The sequence below is a fragment of the Homo sapiens genome, chromosome 11 (assembly GCF_000001405.40).
Source record: "Homo sapiens chromosome 11, GRCh38.p14 Primary Assembly".
In the NCBI taxonomy this organism is placed as follows: Eukaryota; Metazoa; Chordata; class Mammalia; order Primates; family Hominidae; genus Homo; species Homo sapiens.
This window is the reverse complement of record NC_000011.10, coordinates 100988101-101014679: the sequence shown is the minus strand read 5'-3', so window position 1 is coordinate 101014679 and position 26579 is coordinate 100988101. Positions and strand designations below refer to the sequence as shown.

Below are 26579 nucleotides of genomic sequence, written 5' to 3'. Positions count from 1 at the left end.
AGTTAATGTTATATTTCCTATAGGATTACTGTTACATGTATAACAAGGCTCAGATACTTTTGAGGCTTTATACATCAGAAATAAAAACAAAATAGGTATTAAGTCTTACAATGAAATAGAAAGTGTAATCCAGCTTAGGTCCCTAAATCATGTCTATGGACTCTTACACTATTAACTTAGAATGCCTTTTTCACTTTTTTCAAACTACAGCTGAACTATTAATAATTCCTTGTAAACTTAAATTTACAAGAAAAAAACAATCCCATCAAAAAAGTGGGTGAAGGATATGAACAGACACTTCTCAAAAGAAGACATTTAGGCAGCAAACAAACATATGAAAAAAAAAGCTCATCATCACTGGTCATTAGAGAAATGCAAATCAAAACCACAATGAGATACATTCTCATGCCAGTCAGAATGGCGATTATTAAAAAGTTAGAAAACAACAGATGCTGGTGAGGCTGTGGAGAAATAGGAACGCTTTTACACTGTTGGTTGGAGTGTAAATTAGTTCAACCATTGTGGAAAACAGTGTGGCGGTTCCTCAAGGATCTAGAACCAGAAACACCATTTGACCCAGCAATGCCATTACTGGGTATATACCCAAAAGATTGTAAATCATGCTACTATAAAGACACATGCACACATATGTTTATTTCTGCACTATTTACAATAGCAAAGACTTGGAACCAACCCAAATGTCCATCAATGAGAGACTGGATAAAGAAAATGTGGTACATATACACCATGGAATACTATGCAGCCATAAAAAAGGATGAGTTCATGTCCTTTGCAGGGACATGGATGAAACTGGAAGCCATCATTCTCAGCAAACTAACACAGGAACAGAAAACCAAACACCACATGTTCTCACTCATAAGTGGGAGTTGAACAATGAGAACACATGGACACAGTGAGGGTGACATCACACACCAGGGCCTGTTGGGAGTGGAAGCAAGAGGAGGGAGAACATTAGGACAAACACCTAATGCATAAGGGGCTTAAGACCTAGATGACAGGTTGATAGGTGCAGCATACCACCATGGCACATGTATACCAATGTCACAAACCTGCATGTTCTGCACATGTATCCCAGAAGTTAAAGTAAAATACAAAATAATAATAATTCCATGTATTTGTAATGATCTCCAGCATTTGAAAATATTCTACATAGACCATTTCATATGCATTATCTCATCTGGAAAAGCATCCCTGATAGAAAATAGGCATTTATTACCACTGCATTTTTGAGGAGGAGAAAATGAAGCTCAGAGGTATTACATTCGTCAAAGGGTAACTGGCTGAGCTAGGGAAGGAAACGTGGTCTCAGCCACTCCCCTGGCCCATTTCCCCCCCTCTCTTTAGCCCTACATTTGCTTGTTGGATTAGTCTTGACTCTTCCTCTTTAGGTCAGTTTGGAAAACAATAATTATCTGAACTGTTCTGGAGACACTGGCTGCCAGTTAGGCTGCCTATTACAGAACGTTAATGGCTATTGTTTCATATAATTTTTAAAAATACATAAAAACCTTTGAAGAAGTATATCTAATAGTGTTTTCTTTGCCCATTAAAGTTTTGAAATCTGATATTTGAAGCCATTTATTCATCATTGCTATTCTATGCAGCACTGCTACCAATATCTCATTTAGTGGTTTTTAATCCTGCACCTGAGAATGTACAGCTATTGAGCTTATATTTTTTAGCCAAATCACTTGATACAACCAAGAGACTTAGCATACTATTCATGTAGTTCCAGTATCATAATGAACATGAAAATTATCAAGTCTTGGTACAAACTCTATCCCTTACCTAGGGCTAAAAGAAGAAGCAACGAGAAGCTATAACTTCCCAATAGAGTTTTACTAGTTCTGAAAAATAAATAAAGGGCTTTTAAGAATTTGTACTTTTTCGTTATTGCAGTTCCTTACATTGTTTCTACACCTGTAACATTTGGACAACATCTATTTTTCAGGGGTCAGATAGGGAACAAATAATACTATCAGCTGCTATTGACTCAGGACTATTTCATGTAATACTAATTATCTATGAGATATCATATTATATCCGCATGTTACAGATTAGAAAACTGACATTTAAAACAATCCAGATTTTAATCCAGAAAGCACAATTCTGAGTTTAACCACTACTCTATATGCCCCTGTAAAATAATCTAATGCCATATGGCAAAACTCTCAATTCAGGGTGACTCTTAGAAAATGAAAAATATTCAAGCAGGAGAAGTCCATGGAAAGGTAAAGCCATAAAGTTCTTTATAGATACAGAAAATATAATAAAGGTTTTTTCTGTTATTTCTATTCTTTTCTTTTTTAGTTGCAGCCTTTCTCCTATTGTTGTTGTATGAGGAAAAAGACAAGCGGCTTATACACAGACCTTCTTGAGTCAAAAGGCTCCCAGAAATCTACCACCTGAAATGAAATTACCAAAGGAGAACAACTGGCATAGGGTCTAGGACAGTCAGAACCTAATAGGGCTGATTCCTCCTCTTTGCGGTAGCTGCTTTCTAGCCCATAACTGCTCTAATCCTACTCCAAAACAAGCAGTTCCGGACCATGACGAATTTGGACTCAGAGGTTGATGCTAATAGATTTAGTTGATGTTTCAAGAAGCATTTGCCAAGTTCCACCTCAGCATAAGGATGTGGCCTCTCTGCTACAACAAAGCAGCAGCGGAGAAAACTCTCACGGCCCATGGATGATGCTCCAAAACTAAAAACAGAGATTACAGTCAAAGGGTTCTGTTAATAAGATTTAGATGAAGTGAATTTCACATTGATACCAGCAGATCCTAAATCTGAGGATCTCAGACTAAGCACTCGATAAAAAATTCAAGTTTTGTTTCTAATGCCCAAATGAGTCTATTTTAGAAGACCTCTTTTAAATATTCAGGTTCTTGGCCATTTCCCGGTCACATCCATTCTTCCCTTCTCCACACATGAAGCCAATATTTCCCCTGCTCACTCATTGTTCCAACAAAATAATGCAACTTCCTCTCAACACCTTTAAATTCTGCTGAGCGCTCCTGGTTGTTTAGCAGCTGTCTGTGTTCAAGACTCTGCCAGGAAGAAAGTTTGTGGATTTGTATGATTTTTTTTAATGGATTCTGTTTACTTCTGTGGTAAATGAGGCAGATATATTGATGACAAGGGCCTCAGATATTTGTAACAGTTTCCTCATTCAAGAGGACCCATTCCTCAGCCAAACGAAACAAAAAGGAAAACACAAAAAAAGAAAAATTAATCACTATCACCACTCCCCATAAAATTCACTGGAACCCAAAGATCATAAACTGGTAGTCCACTGGCTACATCCAGAATCATGTTGGATCCAACAAGTCTTTTAACATTCTGAAATATTTGCTGACATTTTTAAAGCAAGGGAGACACATGAACACCCAGATTTCTATCATCTCTTTAAAAATGGGAAAATCTAAGCCTAGATTTTTGTATGACAACAATCAGTTGGAGCTTAATAGGTCTGTGCCTTTTCAGGTCTAGCACTGCACAACTCATCACGGCTTCACTTGGCCCTCTTCACACATTTGTATTACCTGACTAACCCAGTAGGCATTCCAAGTGTGGGACCCCTGCTGACTCACGTTGCCTTGGCTACAACGCTGTCTGATGCTTCTATCTTTCAACTCATCAATTTTGCTGGGAAGTAAAGTTGTGGGAAAATAAGTGCATTGTTTTATAAAAAGCTTTATAACAAACAGATAGATATTTATCTCTATTTTCTGACGGGGAAACCGAGGCTTGCAGGTGTGAGACCTGGTTAGGTCTGTGGCTAAAAACTGTTAGATATTTATCTCTATTTTCTGATGGGGAGACTGAGGCTTGCAGCCTTGAGACCTAGTTAGCTCTATGGCTTAACCAGGATTCCAATCCAAGTCAGGTTTCCTGACTCTTAAGACCAGCCCTGTTTGCATTAAACTCTAATTCCTATTGACCAGTGAAGCAATAAGAACAAAATGTCCACAGGAATAAGCACCTATCCTGGAATACAATTCATATTCAGAAATTCATAAATTGAAATGTTATATAAAGATAATGAGAAATGTATGCCTTCCCTGATAAGAAATGAATCCAGGCTTTACACAACTGCAGAGAGCAACAGTGGACTGGGAGCTGGGAGGAAGGATTCCAGACCCAACTGTGACATTCACTGGTGTTGTGACTTGAAAAGGTCTCTTGTTCATTTGGAGCCTCCATGTGTGTTTGACATTTTATAACAGTCTCTGGCTCCGTGGCTGCATCTCCTGTTTAGGGGCCTCCTGCAGGGCCCTTCATCTCTGTCACTGTTTCCCCTAAGTGTTCTCTTTCTTCTTCCTCGTTCTTACTGTCCCCCAAGTCTACTTTTTCTTAATTCAGTGTTTTCCTTTGACTTTCCACCCACAGTCCCATCTTGTCCATCTGAAGCAGACTAGCCTTCTGCAAAGTATTTGTAGATAGGTACAGAGAAAGCATTTATTACATAGAATGCACTGTATCTAGATGAACTGTGTTGCTATAGGCCATTTGCTATAATGAATAGCTTTTTAAACAGATATATTCTCATGGAATTATGAACAAAACTATCACACAACATATTAAGATTAAACATTTTTTAAATCTGTGATTTCAAACAGTGAACATATAAATGGGGTGCAACACGACCCAGTGGAGGTCTAAAATGTGTACATTTATAAATCATATACTAATGAGTCACATCTCACAAACATAGTTTTATATCAGAGTTCTGGTTCCTTGAAAGACAGGTGAAATTAGCAGTACTCAGTCACCACATATGTTAAGTGTGGCATTTCTCTGATGATTGATATTTTTTGGTTCTGCAAACGGTTTGGTTTAATAAAGTGAGGAGGAAGCAAGGTATTTCATTTGGCTAACTATAAAAGAAACACTATTACAGAACTTAACCAAACAAGGGTTCTTCCTCACAAAACAAGCAATTTGGAGTTAGCCAGTCCAGATTCTGTGATGATATCAATGTTCCAAGATCCTTCTTGCTTTCATTTTGTGGCCACAGAATGGTACCTCTACCCTCAGCTTTTCATCCCTTTTACAGGCAGGAATAATAAAAGGGAAGTCACAAAAAATGGGTGGGGTAGCACTTATTACAAGAAAACAAAACTTTCCCAGTAACTTCCCTTTTAGGACTTTCACTTACATCTCACTAGCAGGAACTGTATCAGATTGGCCCCATATTGCAAAGGAGGCTATCTGAGAAATAAAGGGCAAATAGTTGCCCTAAACAAAATCTAAGTTTCCTTTAAGGAAGGAGGGAGGATGAGATTTTGAGTAGGCAATTTATATAGAGCTCCTGCCCTGGATAGAGCTCCTTCCCTGGGCCCATAGTATGTGGCTGTGTGGAACTCACAGTCTAGTAGAACACAAATAGATCATGAATAGATGCAAACCAGGTATTCTACACTTCAGTGGAATGACAGTGCAGGGGGCTATGCAGACTCTTGAAGGGGAGAAGATTCAGGGTCCAGTTCCTGAATTTAACACCCACTGAAGTCATGTATACTCACCAAAAGGACACAGTTCCTCCTTACCTGTGAGATTATACTTGCTAGCAACTAACTCCCCCAGGCTAAGCCACCAATCACACCTACTTCCAAGCAATCCCCTTGACAGCTATCTTGGCTTTATGTAAAGCTCTCAGGAAAGCCCCTCGGTTTATGGCCCTTGCATCCCTTTTTGTAGACATCCCTGCTTCCAAGAGCATGATTTACGTAAATCAAATGTACTACAGAAAACAGGGATTGTAAATATAATAGAAGTTTCTTTTTCATATAACAAGCAGATGGTCTAGAAGTATGGCAGTTCTGCTCCATGAAATCATTCAGGGAACCAGACTTCTAGTTTGTTGCTTTAGCAAATCTACAGAATGCACCTGTCTTTGTGGTATGAAATCATTCATCTTCCAAGCAGCAGGATGGAGCATACTTGTATTCTATCTCCAACAACCAAAAAGGAAGTTTGTACATGTTTATTCTCTTAACTCATTTGTTGGAACTTATTCACATGGCCCCATTTAACACCAAAGGAGACTAAGAAATGTAACCATTATTCTGAGCTGCTATGTCTCCAGCTAAAAATCAAAGTTTCTATTACTGAGAGAGAAAAAGAAAACATTGAGAACACCATCAAATAACCAATTCTCTACCACACCCAGCTACAGAGCAGAAGAGCTTAGGAACTTCCAATGCTGTGGCCCCCCACAATTACTGTTTCAGTTATTTGTTGCTATGTAACAAACCATGCTAAAATTTGGTGGCTTAAAACAACTTATTTATTTTTTATTTGAGACGGAGTTTTGTTCTTGTTGCCCAGGCTCGAGCGCAATGGCGCTATCTCAGCTCACTGCAACCTCCACCTCCCAGGTTCAAATGATTCTCCTGCCTCAGCCTCACGAGTAGCTGGGATTACAGGTGCACGCCACCATGCCCAGCTAATTTTTTCTTTGTATTTTTAGTAGAGACGGTTTTTCACCATGTTGGCCATAATTTTATGTGTTAGGAATTTGAGAAGGCTCAGCTAAGCAGTTCTGTCCCATGTGAGTTGTATGGAGTCATGCCTTCAGCTGACTTCTGGGCTGGATTGGAAGATTCAAGATGGTGTCATTCACATGTCTGACACTTTGGTGCTCTACCATGTGGCCTCTCTCCTTCCCTTGCATGGCTTCTCATTATTGATTAGACCAGTCTAAGCATCTTTACAGCATGCAGAATGGCTTCTCCAAACTTCAAAACTCTTAAAGACTAGGACAAGAGCTAACGCATTTTCACTACATTCTGTTAGTCAAGAATGACTAAGGCAAGTCATAATGCCAACCTGGATTCAGGAGGAGGGTTAATTGCTCCAATTCTTCATGGGTGGAGAGGCATACACATACAGGGAGAAAAGGAATTGATAGTGAATACTGTCTGCCACTTCTTGAAGACTGCCTACCACACTTACCAGGCTTAATCTAGAATTTTTATTCTTTCTGCCTCTCCTACTCCTACCCACAATTGTAACAGGCAAAGTAGAGGCAAGTTGATCTGCAGGCATTCTCCACTATGTTCATTATTCAAGTTTCATAATTACTAAGAAAATTCAACTCAAAGCTTCCATTTTAAGAGGCATTTTGTTAAGGTAATATTGCTCTCTTAAACAGACTTCATAGTTATGTATTTATTTTTAACATACATTAGGAAAAAATAGCCAGCATATCAAAACCATATTTTATAAATATTGCTATGACAAAACTAAAAATGAGTAGCAGTCCTAGATTTTAGTTGACTGTTTTAAGCAAATAGTATAAAGGTTGTATCTGGACATAGCAAAAATTGTATAGGTGATACATAACACCTGAAATTGCGAAACATTGGTTTAGTGAAAAGAGTATGGAAGTTGCCTTAAAATTACCTGAGTGCAAAATCCCAGCTCTACCACATACTAGCCATGTGACCTTAGGTAATCATTAAACAGCTACAAGTCTTCATGGCCATACCTTAATGAGATGATTATATTTCCTATCTTGCAAGACTTGGAGAAAGACTTTAAAAGTGAACATATATGAATTTTAACTTGTAAAATTAAAACACTACATAAATTTAGGGGTTTCTACATAAAATAAAAAATATTTACCTACTGTGTCTTAGTCTTGGGCAGGAAGAAAATGGAACTACCTACTTGGAGAAATAAGCACATCAAACTTCCGCAAGGTATCACATCCCCTGGGGACATGATGTATCTCTCAGCAGCCAGAGGCTAGTGTGGTCTGCTTGTCTGTCCTAACCCATTCAGGAAAGCCACAATTGCTGCAGCAATAAAAATAAGGGAGGAGGTGTTCAAAACCAGTTGGAGAAGAAAGAGTTATCTTGACCAGCTGGGATAATCTTTGTTTCAATTTTACCATCAGTTTGGTACTATCATTGTTTAATCAATGGGATTTGCCTCTCGTTTCCTCAAAAAACACATACACACAAACACACACACACACTCATTCATCTTCTCTTTGCTGATCCTAGTTCTATCTCTTCCTTCAAGACTCAGCTAAAATCCCACCACTTGAGAATAAAAAACAGGTAATTATATTGAATATATTTTTTAAATGTTTAATTGGACTGAATTTATTGAAAGCATCTAAATCAAATTGTCTTTGAGAAAGCAAGACAGAGACTTAAGGTTTGAACTTAAACATAGCTCTGGAAATTAAGAATACTGCATCTTTTGTATACTTGTTGCTTATAAACTGTTTAAACTATAAAATACTGGCTGGGCAGAGGGGCTCATCCCCATAAGCCCAGCACTGTGGGAGGCTGAGGTGGGAAAATTGCTTGAGCCCAAGAGTTCAAGACCATCCCAGGCAACATTGTGAGATCCCATGTCTACTAAAAGTTTAAATGGTGGTGTGCGCCTGTAGTCCCAGCTACTCAGAAGGCTGAAGTGAGTGGATAGCTTGAGCCAAGGAGGTTGAGGTGGTAGTGAGCCATGATTGTACCCCTGAACTCCAACCTGGGCAACAAAGTGAGACCTTATTTCAAAACCAAAACAAAACAAACAAAAAATATATATATATGTTGCATATATATATGTAAAAATACATATATGTGTTACACATTTTTGAATTTATGTCTTTATACTAGTGCTTATATTTTTGTAATACACGTTCCCCAAAATTGGATTAATGCGGTCCAGTATTCCAATTATGAGCATTTTTAATTTATTAAATTTTGTTAAATATTTTAGATCAAAATGTTGAAGTAATTTACACATAATTCACATTTCCCTGCCACCTCCACAGAACTAGATGTCATCACTATAGTCCTGGTAATCATCCAGGTGAAAAATGGTATTGTCATTTTAATTTGCATTTTCATTAGTGAACCTAAAATCTGTTTGAATGTTATGTATATTTCCTGTCCTTTAAATGGATCCTCGGTGTCTCTTGGCTTTATTTTCATTATGTTATTTTTCCTGTTAATTTAAAAGAGTGTTTTGTATATTAAGGATATCATCTCGGTCTCTTATAAGTGTTAACAAATACTTTTTTCCATTCTAAAACATATCTCTCCTTTATGACATAATTTTTTATATTAACTTTACAATTTTTATGTCATTGTCTTTTTTAATTTTTAGTTTCTTGCTTAAGACTCTCTCCTTTATACAAATGAACTCTTAATACTTCTTCTAATTCTGTTATTTTAATAGTAAAGATTTTTTAAATTCTATTTTTGCATAATGGGGTCTAATTTTGTGTTCATGTTTATTGCCAATTATTAAATTAACTAAAGTTTATTAAAATTAAATTAAATGTATTATTTATTAAATAAAATTTAATTAAATGTGGTATTAAAATCTAATTACATAAACTAAATGTATTTATTAAAAAGTAATTTAATAAACTTTGGTTAATAATTGGCAATAAATGTAAAAGAACACAAAATTAGACCCCGTTCATACTTTATGCAAAAACAATTTAATTTTGAATTATTAAATTTCATTGTTACATTTTTTCTGCATATAGTTGAATATGCTTTCTTTTCTAACTAAATTTTTGTTTAATGCCAATACTGTACTGTTTTAATTTCTGTAATTTTAAATTATATTAATAATCATACAGTACAAGTATTGCCATTACTCTTCTTCCTCAAAAATGGTCTTGATCCATTTCCAACACGTTCGTCTTTCTTTTTTTTTTTTTAAAACGAAGTCTTGCTCTGTTACCCAAACTGGAGTGTGGTGGCGCAATCTCAGCTCACTGCAACCTCCGCCTCCTGGGTTGAAGCGATTCTCCTGCCTTAGCCACTGGAGTAGCTGGGATTACAGGCGCCCACCACTACGCCCGGCTAATTTTTTTGTATTTTTAGAAGAGGCAGGGTTTCACCATGTTGGCCAGGCTGATTGTGAATTCCTGACCTCAAGTGATCCGCCTGCCTCGGTCTCCCAAAGTGCTGGGATTACAGGTGTAAGCCTGGCCTGTTGATACGTTCTTATTAACTAAAGTCCATACTTTCTTTGAATGTTTTTAGTTTTTATCAAATGTCCTTTTTCTGCATCCGGATCCCATCTAGAATACCACATTACATTTAGTTGTCACGTCTCCTTAGGCTCCTCTTGGCTGTTCTTTTTGAGGAGTGCTGGTTAGGTACTTTATATAGAATGTCCCTCAGTTGGGATTTGTCTGATATTTTTCTCATAATTAGACTGGGGTTTTATCTTGGGAGGAAGTAAAGTATCATTTTCACCAGAACATATGAAGGGTATATCGTATCATTATGACTTTCTTGATATTGACGTTGATCACCTGGCTGAGGTGGTATATGTCAGATTTCTCCATGGTGGTACTCTTTCTACCTCCAATTCCATCTTTTCACGTTTCCATGTTTTACACAATTCCATTTTTTAAAATGTTTATTTTAAAATTATATTGATAATTTCCTTATTTTAAGTTTTTGAGGTTTGTTGAGGAAGAAGTGGGTCATAATTCTACTTTGCTGTTTCTGCTGAACAGTAGCATGGTGTTATGCAGATAAAAAGAAGTATATAAAAATTTTTAAAATTTTACCTATACACCCTACTAAATTTTCTTATCAATTCCAGTAGGCTGTTTTGTTTGTTTTCAGTAGACTGTGTTGGCTTCCTAGGTACATAATCATACCTTCTTAAAATAAAGATAATTTTATCTATTTTTAGGGAAGACACATACCAATTATTTCATTTTCTTATCTTACCACATTTGTAAAAACTTTCTAGTCTTGATTAATAGCGAAGATAGCTAGTAATCTTGTCTGATTTCTAATTTAACAGAAAAAGGCTCTGATATTTTGATGATTTGAAATAACAGTCTTTGCATGTGTGTCATTTACCAATTTATTGCCTTCAGTTCCAAAGACATCCTTTTTTGTCCACTTCATGACACTGGAGCTGGACCCTGAAAACATTTCTCCTTTGCCAGCTGGTGTGACATTACACATTTTGGTCGATAGAGGGTAGAGAAGGGACGAGATCAGATATACTTGGCCCAGTGGCACTCACCTAAGCAGTCCTGGCAAACCAGCTGTCACCCTGTAATTTTCCCGACACAAATGGTCAGCCCCAACTCATACCCTCTAGGAAGTTTTAGGCAACCAGTATGCTGTGTATCTTGTGGTAGTTGTGCCCTCTCCAATAAGGTGTGTATGTCGGCCCTCAAGGGGTTCATTAAGTTACTAGTCCCCTGGTCCTTTCCCTTTGCCCTAGGATAGCATCTGCTTTCTGCATTGCTATTTCTGTGTTCCTTAGAATTCTCTGTTAAGGGCTGAGCACAGCGGCTCACACCTGTAATCCCAACACTTCAGGAGGCTGAGGTGGGCAGATCACCTGAGGTCAGGGATTCAAGGCCAGCCCGGCCAACATGGTGAAGCCCTGTCTCTACTGAAAATACAAAAATTAGCCGGGTGTGGTGGCATGCACCTGTAGTCACAGCTATTTGGGAGGCTGAGGCAGGAGAACTGCTTGAACCCGGGAGGCAGAGGTTGCAGTGAGCCGAGATCATGCTACTGCAACTCTGCCTGGGCAACAGACTGAGACTCTGTCTCAAAAAATATATACATATATATATGTGTGTGTATATATGTAAATATATGTATATAAATTCTGTTAAGCTCTTTAGTAGTTGATCACCTTTTACTAGTTAATAAACCTTTATATTAATTTTAACCTGTTCTAATTACTGGTGTGATTTCTGTCTTCCAGCTGGACAGTGACTGATGCACCATGTTTAAGTATTTAAGGATGACCTCCTTACTCCTATTTTACTTAGAGTTATTTTAGCACTGGCCACCAATCAAACAAAAGCCCGAGAAGCAGGTACAATAGACAGAATAATGGCCTCCTAAAGATGTTCACCACCTAATCCCTGGAGTCTGTGACTATATTACCTTACATGGCAAAAGGTATAAAGCAGATAGGATTAAAGATCCTGAGATGGAAAGATTATATTTGACCATCCAAATGAACCCTATATAATCACAAGGGGTCTTTATAAGAGCCAGAAAGGTGTATGAGAGTAGGAGGTGTGATGACAAAGCAGAGGGTAGAGTGATTCAAGAAAGGCCATGAGCCAAGGAACGCAGGTGGCCCCCAGAAGCAGGGACAAGGCAAGGAAACACATTCACTCCTTAGAGCTTCCAGAAGGAAGGCAACCCCACCCGCACTTTGATTTTAAGACTTTGATCTCCAGAACTTTAAGTTCATAAATCCGTATTGTTTTAAGCTATTACGTTTATAGCAACTTGTTACACCAGCATCAGGAATTAATACAGATTTTCGGTACCTGGAAGTGAAGTTCTGCTGCGACAAATACCTAAAAGTGTGAATGTTGCTTTGGAATTGGACAGTGGGCACAGAGTGGAAAAATTTTAAGGAACACAAGAAAAAGGCTTATATAAACTTGATCAGCCTGTTAATCGAAATATGGATGTTAAAGGTTCTGCTGCCAAGGGTTCTGAAAGAGGTGGGGGGCACGTTAGAGAAAATGTATGTTGTTGTAGAGAATACCTCAATCTTCATTAACATAATGTTAGTAGAATTATAAACATTAAAGTGCTGCTGGTGAGGGCTCAGGAGGAAATGAGGAACTTGCTCCTGGAAACTAGAGGAAAGGGAATTCTCATTATATAGTGGCAGAAAACTTGGCAGAATTGTGTCACGCCGTTAATTGGACAGCAGAACTTGTAAGCAATGAGCTTGAATATTTGTCTGAGATTTCCTAGCAAAGTGTTCAAAGTGCACCCTCATTTCTTTTGGCTACTTATAGTAAAATGCGAAAGAAAGGAATAGATGGAGAGAAGCAGATAAAGTGACAGAGGCAGGGGTCATGATCAGACGGAGGTCTGAAGATGCTATGCTGCTGGCTTGGCGATGGAGGAAGCGGCGGTCGTCACAGAACATGGGCAGCCTCTAGAAGCTGAAAAAGGCAAAGAAACAGATACTCTTCCAGAATCTTGAAAAGAATACAGCCCTCAGATATCTGTGAGGTACTGAGGAAAGATCAGCAACGCAGGCACTGGGGAAGTATCGAAGCTGAAAGCAGCAGCTGAGAGTAAGTGGTGTAAGTGAGTGGCTGGAATCGGTTGGTAAACTTGGTGATGTGGACTGACCCGGCCTGAGCCATTCCTCTTTCTGGTAGCTCTGCAGAGCACTAGCAGCGATGCTTAGAGATTCATTGCTTAATTCCTCCCATAGAATCAAGGGTTTTTTACCTGGGTTCTGAGGATGGACTTTAGGCGAGGGGTCTGTAAAATGCAAAAAGAAATAAGCATCTTGATTTTAGTCCCATGAAACTAATTTCAAGCTTCTGGACTCCGCAACTGTAAGATACCAAACCTGTGTTGTTTGCAGCTACTGTTTGTGGTGATTTTTTACAGCAGTAATAGAAAACTAATACACTTGGCAAATACCATCTCATGGAATTCCCGTAATAACCTTCTGAGGAAGGTACCATGTTTATATTCAATTTACACAAGGGGAATTAGGCACAGAGGTTAAGTAACTTGCCCAAGGTCACATGGCTAGTAAGTGGCAGAGCTGGGATATGAACCCAGAGCCTCTAATTCTAGAGCTTGCATCCTTAAATGAGGCACTTTAGAAACCTACCCAGGAGGGGGGTCTGCAGCAGGTAAGACTTACCTCGAGTAGCAGGAAAGGCTGGGCAAAGCTTGGCAGCTTAACTTACTCTACAATCCCATAGCTTTGTGTCGTGCAATACCCAACATTCCTTGGCTAGAGCGAAGACAGGCCTGCCCCTGAAGTCCTTGAAAGGCCCAGGATGGAGGAGAGGATGATGGGGCCCTCTTGATGTGCAATAGCCAGAAAAAATCCTTTCTGGCAGATGGATTTCTTGGGTTCACAAAGCAGAAGAAAAACAATCTGCTCGGCCTCTAGGCCACAACCCCGACCCAGAGAGTGGTCTGAGAAGTAGGGTATAAATACTCTGCAATCCCACGGGCTCTCCCAGCACAAATTTCCACATGATAAGTATTGTGGTCTCATTGGGTACTCCCTCATCACAAGAATAGGCACCATCTGTAGGCTAGCCTGAACTTCTAAGCTGAGTCCGCCGAGCCTCATTGCTTTCTCAGCCAGATATTGGAAGGATTAAGTTGTCCCCAAGTTAAACTCCACTCCCACTTTCCACAGAGTGGATACTTGCTTCTGAAAGACATTCCGGCCACAGCCTCTAGCCACTCTGTATGCAGCAGCCATTTAGTACTTCTTAGTGTGGCGAGCAGGTGGGTCAAACGTGGAGTTGCTTTTTGAGAACTGATCAAAACTGTGGAACCTTCTCTGGAAAGAAATATGCATATAGAGACTCAAAGCACCTAGTATTTAATGCAGGGAATTCACAGACCTCCCTAAAGTCCGTCTTTGGAACCCAAGTTAAAACCCCTGATTTTATGAAAGGAATTAAGCAATTAATCTCTAAGCATTGCTGCCTGTGCTCTCCAGAGCTACTAAAAAGAGGAATAGCTCTGGCCAGGTCAGCCCACATCACCAAACTTACTAATTCTAACCACTCACTGTGCCCCCTTCCTTTTCTTCAGCTGCCTTTCTCAGCTGTGATAACTTCTTCACTGCATGCATTACTGATCCTTCCTTAGCACACTTATAGACATCTGAGCCACATTTGAATCCCCTAAATTAACCATTCAGAACAGTGGCCATGTCATGTCACCTTGACCTTTGAAATGAGTCATTTTCTTGTACTGGCTTTGTTCATTTCTTGGGTCAGTGCAACATTGCCTCCTCAGCCTTCCTACAGTGCCCAAAACACACTCACCCTCACACCCATCCCCCATCCAGTGTTCTTAAAGGTAAATCTGATGGCATCATTCTCCCCTCTAAACTCTCCCCGCCTTCTCAGACTGGCCCTCATGCTACCAGTGTGCTCATTTTTACCTCATCCTACCTGCCACACTCACAGGCCAACATGCTTGAGCAAGCAGCCAAACCCCTGGCCACTCAGAATTAATTTAATCCATCAGAAACTCTGTTGAAGTCTCTGGGCCTTTGCTGCCTTCGTTTTCTGTTGGTGTTCTGTCCTTCAGGGTCTAGTTAGGATGGTTCCTTTTGTGTGTGAAGCCTTCTCTAATCCTCTCTTTCTTTCCTCTCTAAACTTGGGTTACTGTGTGCCCCTTTTATACTTTGTGCCTCTATCATACTTACCTCATTTGTACTGTGAGTTTAAAAAAAATTACTGATACATAGATGTACATATTTTCAGGGTACATGTGATATTTTGACATATTCATATAATGTGTAATGATCAAATCAGGGGAAACATTTATTAATATTTTTTATGCTGGGAAGAGTCTCTTCTAGCTGGGATGATTCTCTTCTAGCTATTTGAAAAATAAAATAGGTTATTGTTAACTGTAGTCATCCTAAAAGAGGTTAATAGGTACAAAAATACATGTACTGTGGTCTTTAACTTACATATCTGTCTCCCTCATTGAGCTATGGACTTTTCAGGAAGAAAAACCATGTCTAATTCTTTTAAGTTATTAACAACCAGAACAGTGTTTGGCACTATGTTGGTTGAAAGAGTAAATGCAGCTCATCCCAACTCTTCCTTCACCCACTCTATCGCCTCCCTCTCCCCAACCCCTCTAGTAGCCTCTTCCCTTGTGTAATGTGGAATCCCACCTGTCTTGGGGTGGGATTGCTCCTTTTGGCTTTGGGGTCTTACTCCTTTTGGCCTTTCACTTCTGCCAAAATTTGGTTGGCTGATAACACCATCCACCCAGGTAAAATCATCCACACTTCTTTCTTTGTATCCTCTTATCTTTTCCATCATTTCTGCTATTTCCCAGGTTCAGAATAGTGCCCTATCTCAGGCTCTTAAACACCCAATGCTTAATCTTTTTAGCATTTTATAGTATTATATTTTATTGATCTGTACGTTACCCCAATAAACCATGGATCTCTTGAAAAGAGGAAATATATCTAAGTTTCTCAGGATCTCCAATGACTTGAATAGGTCCTGCACAATAATTTTCATGCGTTCAGATGCCTACTGAATTTTTCTACTCTGTGAAATTTTGACAAGCGGTCATCTAGACCCACTCAAACACTGCCTGTGATTGAAAGCTGTTTCCTGAGTTCCGTTTGTGGAAGACTTGGCAATATAATTATGTTTTTGAACCTAAATCTCAATTGTTGTGACTTCTCCCAGTGATCTTTGGCTTTTGGAGTAGTTGGACATATCTTGCCCTCAAACATCTCAAAATTGCCCTCAGGTAGCCCCAAAGAACTCGTTCATAGTTCTGCTAAACCTGTGCTTCTTAAACCTCATCGTTTATAGATATCATCTGGGGAGCTTGTTAACATGCAGATTCTGATTCAGAAGTTCTGAGATTCTGCAACTAAACAGCTTTTAAGAGGTCGAAAGGTCACTCGTTGAGTAATGACGCTCAGGTCTAACACTTATTCACACGATAAGGCGCTCACCATCTTCATCTTTCTTCTGGAGAAGGTCGAGTTTGCCAAATACCTCTTTCAAGTCTGGTAGCCAAAGCTTACCATACTCCACTTGGTGTAGTAAAGAGGTGGTTCAATGAAAAGAGTACTGGGTTTCAAGCCAGAATATCTGGGTTTGAGTCTAACCTCTACCATATACCAATGATATGATAATGAATAAGCCAGATAAATTCACCTGTCAGAGCCTTAGTTTTCTTTCCTGGAAAAATAAAAAGAGCAGAGGAGACATCCAGTGACGGTATCTGGTAGTTGGGAGGACTGGAGTTTGCTGTGACACAGTGCATGGGAAACACTTGATTAATGGCTATGTATCATATACACTGGAGCCATTATTTAATTTCTTTCAACGAAGCTTAAAAATTTCACTTGTTCTGTTAGCATTTGCATCAGAAAGCTGCACACTCAAACCCCTAAGTCTTTAAAAATAATTGTTATCCAGTAACACCTACTAGTTGCAAGGCACCGGGCTAGACCTTTCATACCTGTTTTCTGAAATTTTTATATATCTCCTCCTCGCAAAAAAGTTCTTCATTATAACAGCCAAGGTGAGCTGGGTCTTACTTAACCTTTTGCCTTCCTGTTCTGTGTGTACCCTCCAGGAAAGTTATCCTTTCTCGAAGGATATCCTTTCCAGATAAACTTTTCAAAGATCAAACCCTATGAGAAGCTGCCCTCCCCACACATCCACAAATTGGTAGCAGATTACAGAGGAGATAAGAGCTCACCATTCTGCTGAAACTATGTTAATGTGGTCTTCAGCTTCCTAATTAGCACAATGAGAGGCTTGGACTGAATTATTTGGTAACCTTGCTCTGAAAAGCTCTAAGCGTTCCATGGAGATGCCAGAAGCTGTGGACCTGGCCGGGCACGGTGGCTCACGCCTGTAATCCCAGCACTTTGGGAGGCTGAGGTGGGCGGATCACTTAAGGTCAGGAATTCAAGACCAGCCTGGCCAACATGATGAAACCCCATCTCTACTAAAAATACAAAAATTAGCTGGGTGTGGTGGTGCACACCTGTAAGGGGGTGCTGAGGCATGAGAATCGCTTGAAGCCAGGAGGGGGAGGTTGTAGTGAGCCGAGACTGTGCCACTGCACTCCAGCCTGGGTGACAGAGCGAGACTGTCTCAGAAAAAAAAAAAAAAAAGAAAAAGAAAAAAAAAGCAGCTGTGGACCTGCATGGGTGAAGTGCAGGCCATTCTTCAGCACACATGTAGGCACTGAGGCTAGCAGCTTGACTCATATTTTTAACTGGTTCCAAGTAAGATTTATTCGAAGAAAATGATTCTGTTCCAGTTGCTCCAAAAATACTTTTGAAAGCTATTTGAATTGGGTAATTGCACCCATTCTTTGAAAAAAAAAAAAAAAAGGTCTGTAAATAGGTGATGTGATGAATATAAACATCTATGAGGGTTAGAAATACGTATTTTTGTTTTCCTCCCTCTAGCACAGGCTGATCCAGAGAATGCTTTTCAGCAGACTGGCTCCTGGCATTTGGAAAGGTAGAATATTCCAGATAACTTATTTCTGTCAACAAATGGAGTCTAGCTAAATGCTATGCTTGGCTCATTTGCCCCAAATACCCAGAAACAGCATTTGCAAGCATGTCAACCAGTATTTTGGGGATTTGCATTCCCCAGGGTATCTTATTCGAAAAACTTTCTAATGTTCTTATCTATAACTCATGTTCTTATCTATAGCTCCCCCCCTTTTTCCCCTAATAGCAAGAACTGTCATGTTGGAAACTTGAAAAGAATTTTGTCTTCTCAGTTTTGGGCTATACACAATTTCAAAGTTAACAACACAACTTATTTGGCTCAAAAACTTCAACTGCAAGTTTAATATAGCTTAATTTTCCAAATTTGGAATATTTTTAATGGTTTAGAAAATTGAATTCTTCAACATCACCCCCAAATTATACAGCTCAATCAAGTGTTGCTAGGTCTGGTAATGACAGAAGAAAATCTGTTTAACCTCTGCCCTTAAGACCTGTTCATGTGTGTAAAGGTTTGTTTACACCATTAACATATAAATGGCTCCAGAGTAGATTCATATATTCATGGATGTTGAAGAATGATTTCACTGTTCCTGGGAGAATTGACAGACATAAAAACACAAGCCCACAACCGTATTCTTTAAATTATTAAAGGGTTTACAATGTTTGTTCCTTTGCTAATGAATTTGTTCATTTAATGAAAGGGGCTTACTCTACTGTATTCATGTATGCCCAACTCTGTTCTAAAGCCTGAGATTGACTGATGAATAGGAGATGTATCTTGCACACACAGATCAAAATTTAATGGGGAACAAGTGAAAATGTTTAATTCTTGAAAAAGTCACTTAAATTCCCAAAATGATATAAGTATCCCCAGCTCATGTACTATTTTTTGAGTAGTTTTTGTTACCTTGTTTTTTAAACTATTAACTAAAGTTTAGACCTTATTTGGACACCACCAGCTTATCTTTTATTTATTTATTTATTTATTTATTTATTCATTTATTTATTTTGAGATGGAATTTCACTCGTTTTTGCCCAGGCTGGAGTGCAATGGCACAATCTCGGCTCACTGCAACCTCTGCCTCCATGGTTCAAGAGATTCTCCTGCCTCAGCCTCCTGAGTAACTGGGTTACAGGCATGCACCACCACGCCCGGCTAATTTTGTATTTTTAGTAGAGACGGGGTTTCACCATGTTGGCCAGGCTGGTCTTGAACTCCTGACCTCAGGTGATCCACCCGCCTCGGCCTCCCAAAGTGCTGGGATTACAGGCGCGAGGCACCACGCCCGCTATTATTTTCTCCTTTCTGTTCCAGGATCCAGTCCAGGGTTCCACATTACATTTAGTTGCCCTGTCTCCTAAGTCTCCTCTGATCTGTGACATTTGCTCAGTATTTACCTATTTTTCATGAGCTCAACAGTCTTGAGGAGTACTGGGCTGAGATCTTTTCTGTAGAATGTCCTCAGTCTGGGCTTGTCTGATGTTTTTCTAATGGTTACACTGGAATTATGGGTTTGGGGAAAGAATACCACAGAGGTGAATTGCTCTTCACATCACATATTATGGGGTGTAAGTCAACCACATGATATCACTGATATTAAGTTTTACCACTTGGTTAAGACAGTGGCTACTAGGTTTCTTTTCTATAAAGTTATGACGGTTTTCTATACTCTAAATTTTGGAAATGAGTTACTAAGTCTAGCTCACCTTTAAGCAGGAGAGGATTAAATTCTACCTGCTAGAGGGAAGGGTAACTATAACTCCAATTATGATTTGGAATATTTTTGTAAAGATTTGTCTCTTCTCCCTCATTTTTTTACACAAGTGAAATTTATTGTCATTGATATCCATGTGGATTCATGGATATTCATTTTATACTTTGTTTTATAAGCCAATCATTCAATACTGCATTATTTTGTTGCTCAAATCATTCCGGCTTTGGCCACTGGAAGTTAATTCATTTTTAATTCTAAAATATCAGTTATAGGGGATTCCAGGCCAACAGTCTTAACCAACATTCTTAAACAGTAGCTCATCTAGAATAATCTGTAATATCTAACCTAATAGTCCTTTCCTGCTTAACTATACTGGAGTTAACATTAATCCTTATATCTGAACAGGTGTTGTGTCATGAATTTATCTCTTTTCCTCTGATATCGATGAAAACTACAACCTATGTGAGCAAGCCAGGTTGTCCAATGGTCAACCTGTGAGGCTTAGCTTTGGCAAGGTGATTTGCTGCACTCTAATAATCTATGGAGCAATGCAAAAGAAATACACGATTATCTTTTTTTTTGATGCAGCGAAGCAAAGTTTTACCTAGAAGTCAAGTCATGACCAAGAGGTTCATAAGACTAATAAAAATGGACAGGAGGTATTTGTACGCTGATATTTCTTCCATAGTACACTTGGAAACTTTTATAAACATATATATTTTCAGGTAAGCCTGTATGCTTGTTATATTTAGTATTTTGCATATGGCCCATTTCCCTCTCCCCTCGGTGGATACCTGCATTATTAATAGGTTATCAACATTAACATTTTCCAAAGCTTGCAGAATACCAATTTGTGAGGAGAAGGTCACCAAATTCTGCTATGATTTAGCCATACCAAAGTGATCACTCACAGTACCAGAAACTTTGTTTTTTCTCTACATGAAGCCAAGACAATTGCCCTCCAACACAGTGGGTCTTCAAGTACAAAGACTAAATTAAAATCTGCTTACAAAGTTTATTTTTAAAGTAATTTAAAACACAGTGTAACCATACATTAAAAATATTGTGGCAATTTAGATTAGGAATAAACATGAGGTTATTTACATGTTGGCATATGTATGTGTGTATATATACACAAAGTGCAGATAAATACAGAACACTACAAAATAAACAAAAAATTCAATGATAATTTATGGACAATCACTTTTATATTTATTACTTAATTTGTCATGTTAATGACTGCAAAGAAGCTCCTAGTACTGAAATATAATATCTTAACATCCGACTTTTATATAAACTACAGTACCTCAAATTTTAACAGTATATAAATAGGGTTCTGAATTAAAAACCCAGGTGTCTTCCCTGCCAAATTCCCTATTTGTTAAGGTTTCAGCTCAGAAATCAAGAAGGACTCTGAAAATCCCAACCTTTGATATGTGGTGGTATATTGGATTTTAAGCATCAATCATGTGCAGACAGTGTTCTTAGACCAGTTCCTGTGGGGATCGTTCTCTGCAAAAAGGAGGCAGTTGAGGGTACACGGGCAGATATAAAGCCTCAAAAATGCTGCCATATAGAGATTAAAAGTGTGCATTTTATATATATATATGTATATGCTGCCATATAGAGATTAAAGGTGTGCATTTTTATATAAAATGCATCTTTATATAAAATGCACATTTTTAATTTATAAGACTGAGTAAATTCAAGGCAAAATTGAGTTGTTGTCAACTCTGGATGCAAAAACACCATGGGAAACACTCATGAAAGATGGCAGATGGTCCAAAGGGGAGAAAGGGGTTATCCTACTGAGGAGGTTTTGACACCTTCAGCCCCTGCCTCCTCCAACACTTAAGTTTCCCAAATAGCCGTGTACACAGGCATCTTGAATGGTGGAGAATATTTATGATGGCAGTAAATGAAAATGGTCTCTGGTTTTTGGGACTCTTCAGTAAGCACACAGACTCCATTTCTCCATAGAGCACCAAGAAAAATCCACACTGAACTTGGCATCTCTCTCATGAGTGCCAAGGGGAAAAGGAATGATGGGCTGGGCCCCCTAAACCACAGACACCTTGTAATCATTGGTCTAGGACATGCAGATCAATTTTCTGCCAATGGCTTACTGTGAATGTTGTCAACATTCTTATGTAAGATTCTTTATTTAAAACAGTGAGGGCAGCTGCCCTCAAAAAATAAAAAATCCAATTTATTGATTTGATCCTCTAAAAGTCCACATCATTCATAAACCTGCATTTTCCCAACGTTATTACCAAGTGGAACTGGCACATTTTGAAGCAGGGGGATAACGGTGACAATGAGGGATACAGTGAATGTGTTCAGGAAATTGAGACCAGTTGATGAATACTCGATATTACATCTGCGAATCAACAGGAGACAGGCAGGACACAGAATGTTCAGAAAACTATCTTTGTTTCTTAAAAGTGTCTTGATTTTGGAAGGTAACAAAAAAGGGTAGGAGGCAAAGTTAAATAGCAATGTGTACCCTAAGGGGAAACCTTTAGTCAAGGGGAAAGTAACTTCTGGACAATAGTCAAGCCTGTGTTCTTTTTCGTGACCTGACCAGGAGATGTGATTTCCGGGTCCTACGCAGTGATGTGAGGTCATGCTAACAGCTGTGAGTTACAAATGTATCATAAAAGCAAAGAACAAAATCTGTTCCCTAAATTGGTCTGCCTCTGACTTTAGTCAAAGTATAAGTCTAGTTGGGGTTCTAAATGCTAAAGAAGGCATCCTGAATACATGATTTAAGGTATCACTACAATTTGAAATTGCTTGAGGCAAAGCTCTGAGGGACTCTTCTAAACTGAAACCACATGAATGATACCCTTTTCAACACAGACCAGAAGAACGGTGCTAGGAGTGAGAAGGTGAGCAGGGTACACTGGATGATAGTGAGAAATCTGTTTGCCTCACAACATAGTGAATTTTTATGAAGGATGCCACATTATATAAAGCTAATTATCATCGAATAATAATAAAAGTCATATGTATCTTTATTTTTCCTACTTGGAAACCTAGATAATTTGGGGTTTTAATACATTTTTTTTCCTTCACTATCTCTGAAAAGAGTCAGCAGACAAATCATTGTTGAGAAACCTGGTTGTGTTCATGCAAGTTACAAAGCACAGGGAACCCATGCAACAAGCAAAACCACTCACATCAAACAAGGAGAAACCCACTTCCTCATACTTCGTGAATGTTACAGGAATACACAGATGATTTTACTGTTCAGACATTTACACATAACACAACAGAAAAATCCTTCAGTTGACTAGTTTCCATAAACTTGGTAGCATTACGGCAAAACAAGAGAGTCATCTGTGAAACACACAAATGTTTTGTACTGAGGGATATTTTCACATAACTCAGGAGATAAGGAACTTAAATTTAGACCCCCTCAATCTCATCATCATACTGATTATACCGTAAGCAGTTATTAGGGTGCAGAGGTTGCGTGTTTTGAAGATATGGATGTGGCAATTCTAATGTATCTTCACATTGTTCCTGAAAAGCTAAGGTTTTGTTATTGAACTACTATTAAAAGTTGAATGTGATCCTCTTTCAATGTCTGGCATTGCCTTCCTGTGGAATTAACATTCTGTGTGATTTAGAGTACATGTCCTGACTTTCTCAGTGCTCATAAATACCTTATCTGTAGGAAACTTACTTTAAGGGAAAAGCAGCTTTAGCCCGTCTCCAGTATATGGCCATGACTTGCTTACATTGTAATCCATTATGAAGGAAAAAGAGCCATCCTCACAAATCTAGAAGATTAAAAGTTCAAGCACAAGCACAACTTGAATCAGTGCTTCTGTAGCTTGTTTCAGCAAAGGGACCATAGCCAGTACTGTGGCTGCAACATATGCCTTGCCATCAGATACAATAGTTAGGCTTCCTATCCACATCCTATGCAGTAAAAAAGCTTTAAATCTGAATGGAACATCTGCAGAATTAGCTTACAGACAACTCAGAAGCAGGAACACTTTGGTCCGTGTTCAAATAAAATGAAGGTTGAGATTCTTTATGCAGCAGCAGGAGAAGTAGGATTCTGAATCTCTCTTTGGAGTCAAGTTGGTCTTTGAAAGAAAACCAATTTGCTTTTAAGAGATTCTAGTCTAGCAGGATACCAGATGATGGCAAGTGTGCTTAAACCAAGGGTGCTGTATAGACTAAGGGACTGGTACACTGGAAAACTACCTTCTGTTCCAGCAGAGGGCAATTAGGGTGTCAGCAATGCTGTTATTACTACTAAGGTCACCAAGGACCTCGACCAAGAAGATCCAGCAACACACCTTATTACAGTGCACAGAGGTCAACAGTAAGAGATAAAAGAAAAAGATACTCTTTTATCAAACGTTTACATTACATTGCTAATTTTTATTACATAATATTTTTCATTCTTTTGATTCACTGATATTTATTCCTGATTCTGACTCTGCCTACCGTTATTCTCTCTACTTGTTAATTCTAATCTTATTCTTTTTATTTGTAAAAGCCTAACTTTTCTGAGGCATAGTTGTGTGTGTGTATGTGTATTTAACCTATTAATTCTAGAAACATTAATTTAAAGTAGAAGAGATAGAGATTACAGATAATAATGGCATGTAAAGAGTTTTTTACAGTTAATACCTGAGAGTCTGCACAGTGGGGAACTCTGAAGTAATATGCAAGATGTCAAGAACAAGCAGTTCAGGACTGTGGCACTCAAAGGGCAGGTAACCAGCTTTTCAGGATCTTGAGAAGAAAGGCTCTTTGCCACATACAGATATTACATTTATAGAAATAATATATTAGAATTATTGAAATAGAAATATAGAATTAATGGTTCGTGCATGACCAGATGCTGATATATATAAGTGGACAGTAAATACCTATTACTATGCTCTACAAATTCACTGAAATTGCTAATAAAGACTGTAAACTAAAAGGCATAAAAGAAAATCATGTACAGATTTTATTTCTGCTGAAGATCACAAAACAATTTCAACCTCTGTGGTTCAAAATAATTTAAGGATCTTGTACCTTTGTGTTTATTTTCTGTTTCAACTAAGGATAGACTTCAGAAGGCATAGCTTCCCTTGTAACGTTTTTAAACATCTTTTTCATTTGTAGAAGAACATTTCAAAAGCCCAAATTAAATTATCATTAAAATACTTTGACACTTTACAATCTTCCAAGTGGAATTTAAGTTGTATGCCTTGATACTGTAGTTTTACAGTTTCCCCATCATTGGTAAATATTCTTCTATGATGCCACTATAATGCTACTGGTAGAAAATATGTGCATATAATTTATCAGTATATTTTCATGTAAAATTTTATAAAAATCTCAAAGTTATGAAGATAGTTTTACACACCCTCTAAACTAGGTGTCAGCAAACTATAACCCATAAGCCAAATTCAACCCACCACAAAAATATTTGCTATCAGGCCTTTACAGAAAAAGTTTGCTGAAGGTGTCTGGAATTCTGGACAGATTGTTTACAGTGGAATCAGTGTATGACTTAATTTTGCTTCCTTTATAGATATCATATACATTATTGCTTTTGAATATTATCATCTACTTGGAAAACAAATAAAGTTATATTAAAACAAAGACTTACATCCTTGAAATGTTTAGGACCAGCAAAACAATCATATATAAAAGCAGTATATTTCTAAGAAAAAAAAAACAATAAATGAACAATTTAAATTACATTTTTAAGTAACAATTTCAGAGATCCTCAGAGAATGCCAGGCAGTAAAGGACAGATCTCAAAATCCATATAGCAGATTTCTGGTTTCCAAATTTCTGGGATACAGTATTTAACACAGTATTTGAAACTCTACAATTGCTACGGAAGCGACATTGTGGAGAGTTACATATTATCCAAAAACACATTTTTCACAAGTAAGATATTTTAAAATAAGAAACCAACCAAAAAAGAATGGCCAACAATTTAAATCTTTTTTTCCATTAATAAGGAGCTACATAGTCTGCTGGTGAAGAACTTGATAGAAATTGACTGTTTTCACTTAGTGGGCTGATCCCCGTGTATCTGTGTCAGATAAAATCATAGCATTTATTCGTTACCATGGATACCATGAAGATACTGCCATCCACTAAATAGTATTAGAGGAAGACAACATAATTTTCTGGAACTAGTCCTGTTTTGCCTTCATAAGTTGCCTTTAACCATCCTGGTTCCACTGATGGGTACACTGGCAAAATAAATAAATAAATAGCACTCAGTCAACATTAGTGTCAAATAATTATATAAACAGATGGGTTAAACACCCACATCGGATTGTCAGTCCTCAGTATCTGTGGGGGATTAGTTCCAGGACCCCTTGTGGATACCAGAAACTGTGCATGCTCATGTCCCTGATATAAAATGATGTAATATTTGCATATACCCTAGGGACATCCCCCTGTATGCTTTAAATCATTTCTAGATTATTTGTAATTCCTTTTACAATGTAAATACTATGTAAATAGTTGTTATACTATATATTTTTAAAATTTGTATTATTATTTATCTATTTATTTTCCAACCTTTTTGATCCATGGTTGGTTAAAGTGTGCATGCAAAAATTCTGGAATGTAGAGGGTCCAACTATACACTCAACTCAAACGTCCAAACAAAACAATGTCACAGCCCTCTAAAGTTGGAATGTCCTTTGCATTCACATAGTCAAATAAAACAATCTCTCTGTCTCACACACATGTACAAACAGGTACATACACACAAATGCCTGCAGGAGAGGAATGAATCCAGAGGGAATTTTAAAATGTTTTATTTATTTATAGACAGAGTCTTGCTGTGTTGCCAG

The 26579-nt window shown here is 38.2% G+C and overlaps 1 protein-coding gene across 5 annotated transcripts in view; it reads right to left on the bottom strand.

Annotated features, from left to right (window-relative positions):
• Positions 1-20738: 20738 nt before the first annotated feature.
• Positions 20739-26579, bottom strand: part of ARHGAP42 (Rho GTPase activating protein 42) — a 306654-nt gene continuing 300813 nt past the window's right edge. For all 5 annotated transcript variants that reach the window (NM_001367945.1, NM_152432.4, XM_011542616.3 and 2 more), the window contains one exon: positions 20739-25967. In NM_001367945.1, coding sequence (NP_001354874.1) covers positions 25879-25967 — 89 coding nt within the window. In that variant the 3' untranslated portion in view covers positions 20739-25878. The remainder of the gene's footprint in view (positions 25968-26579) is intronic.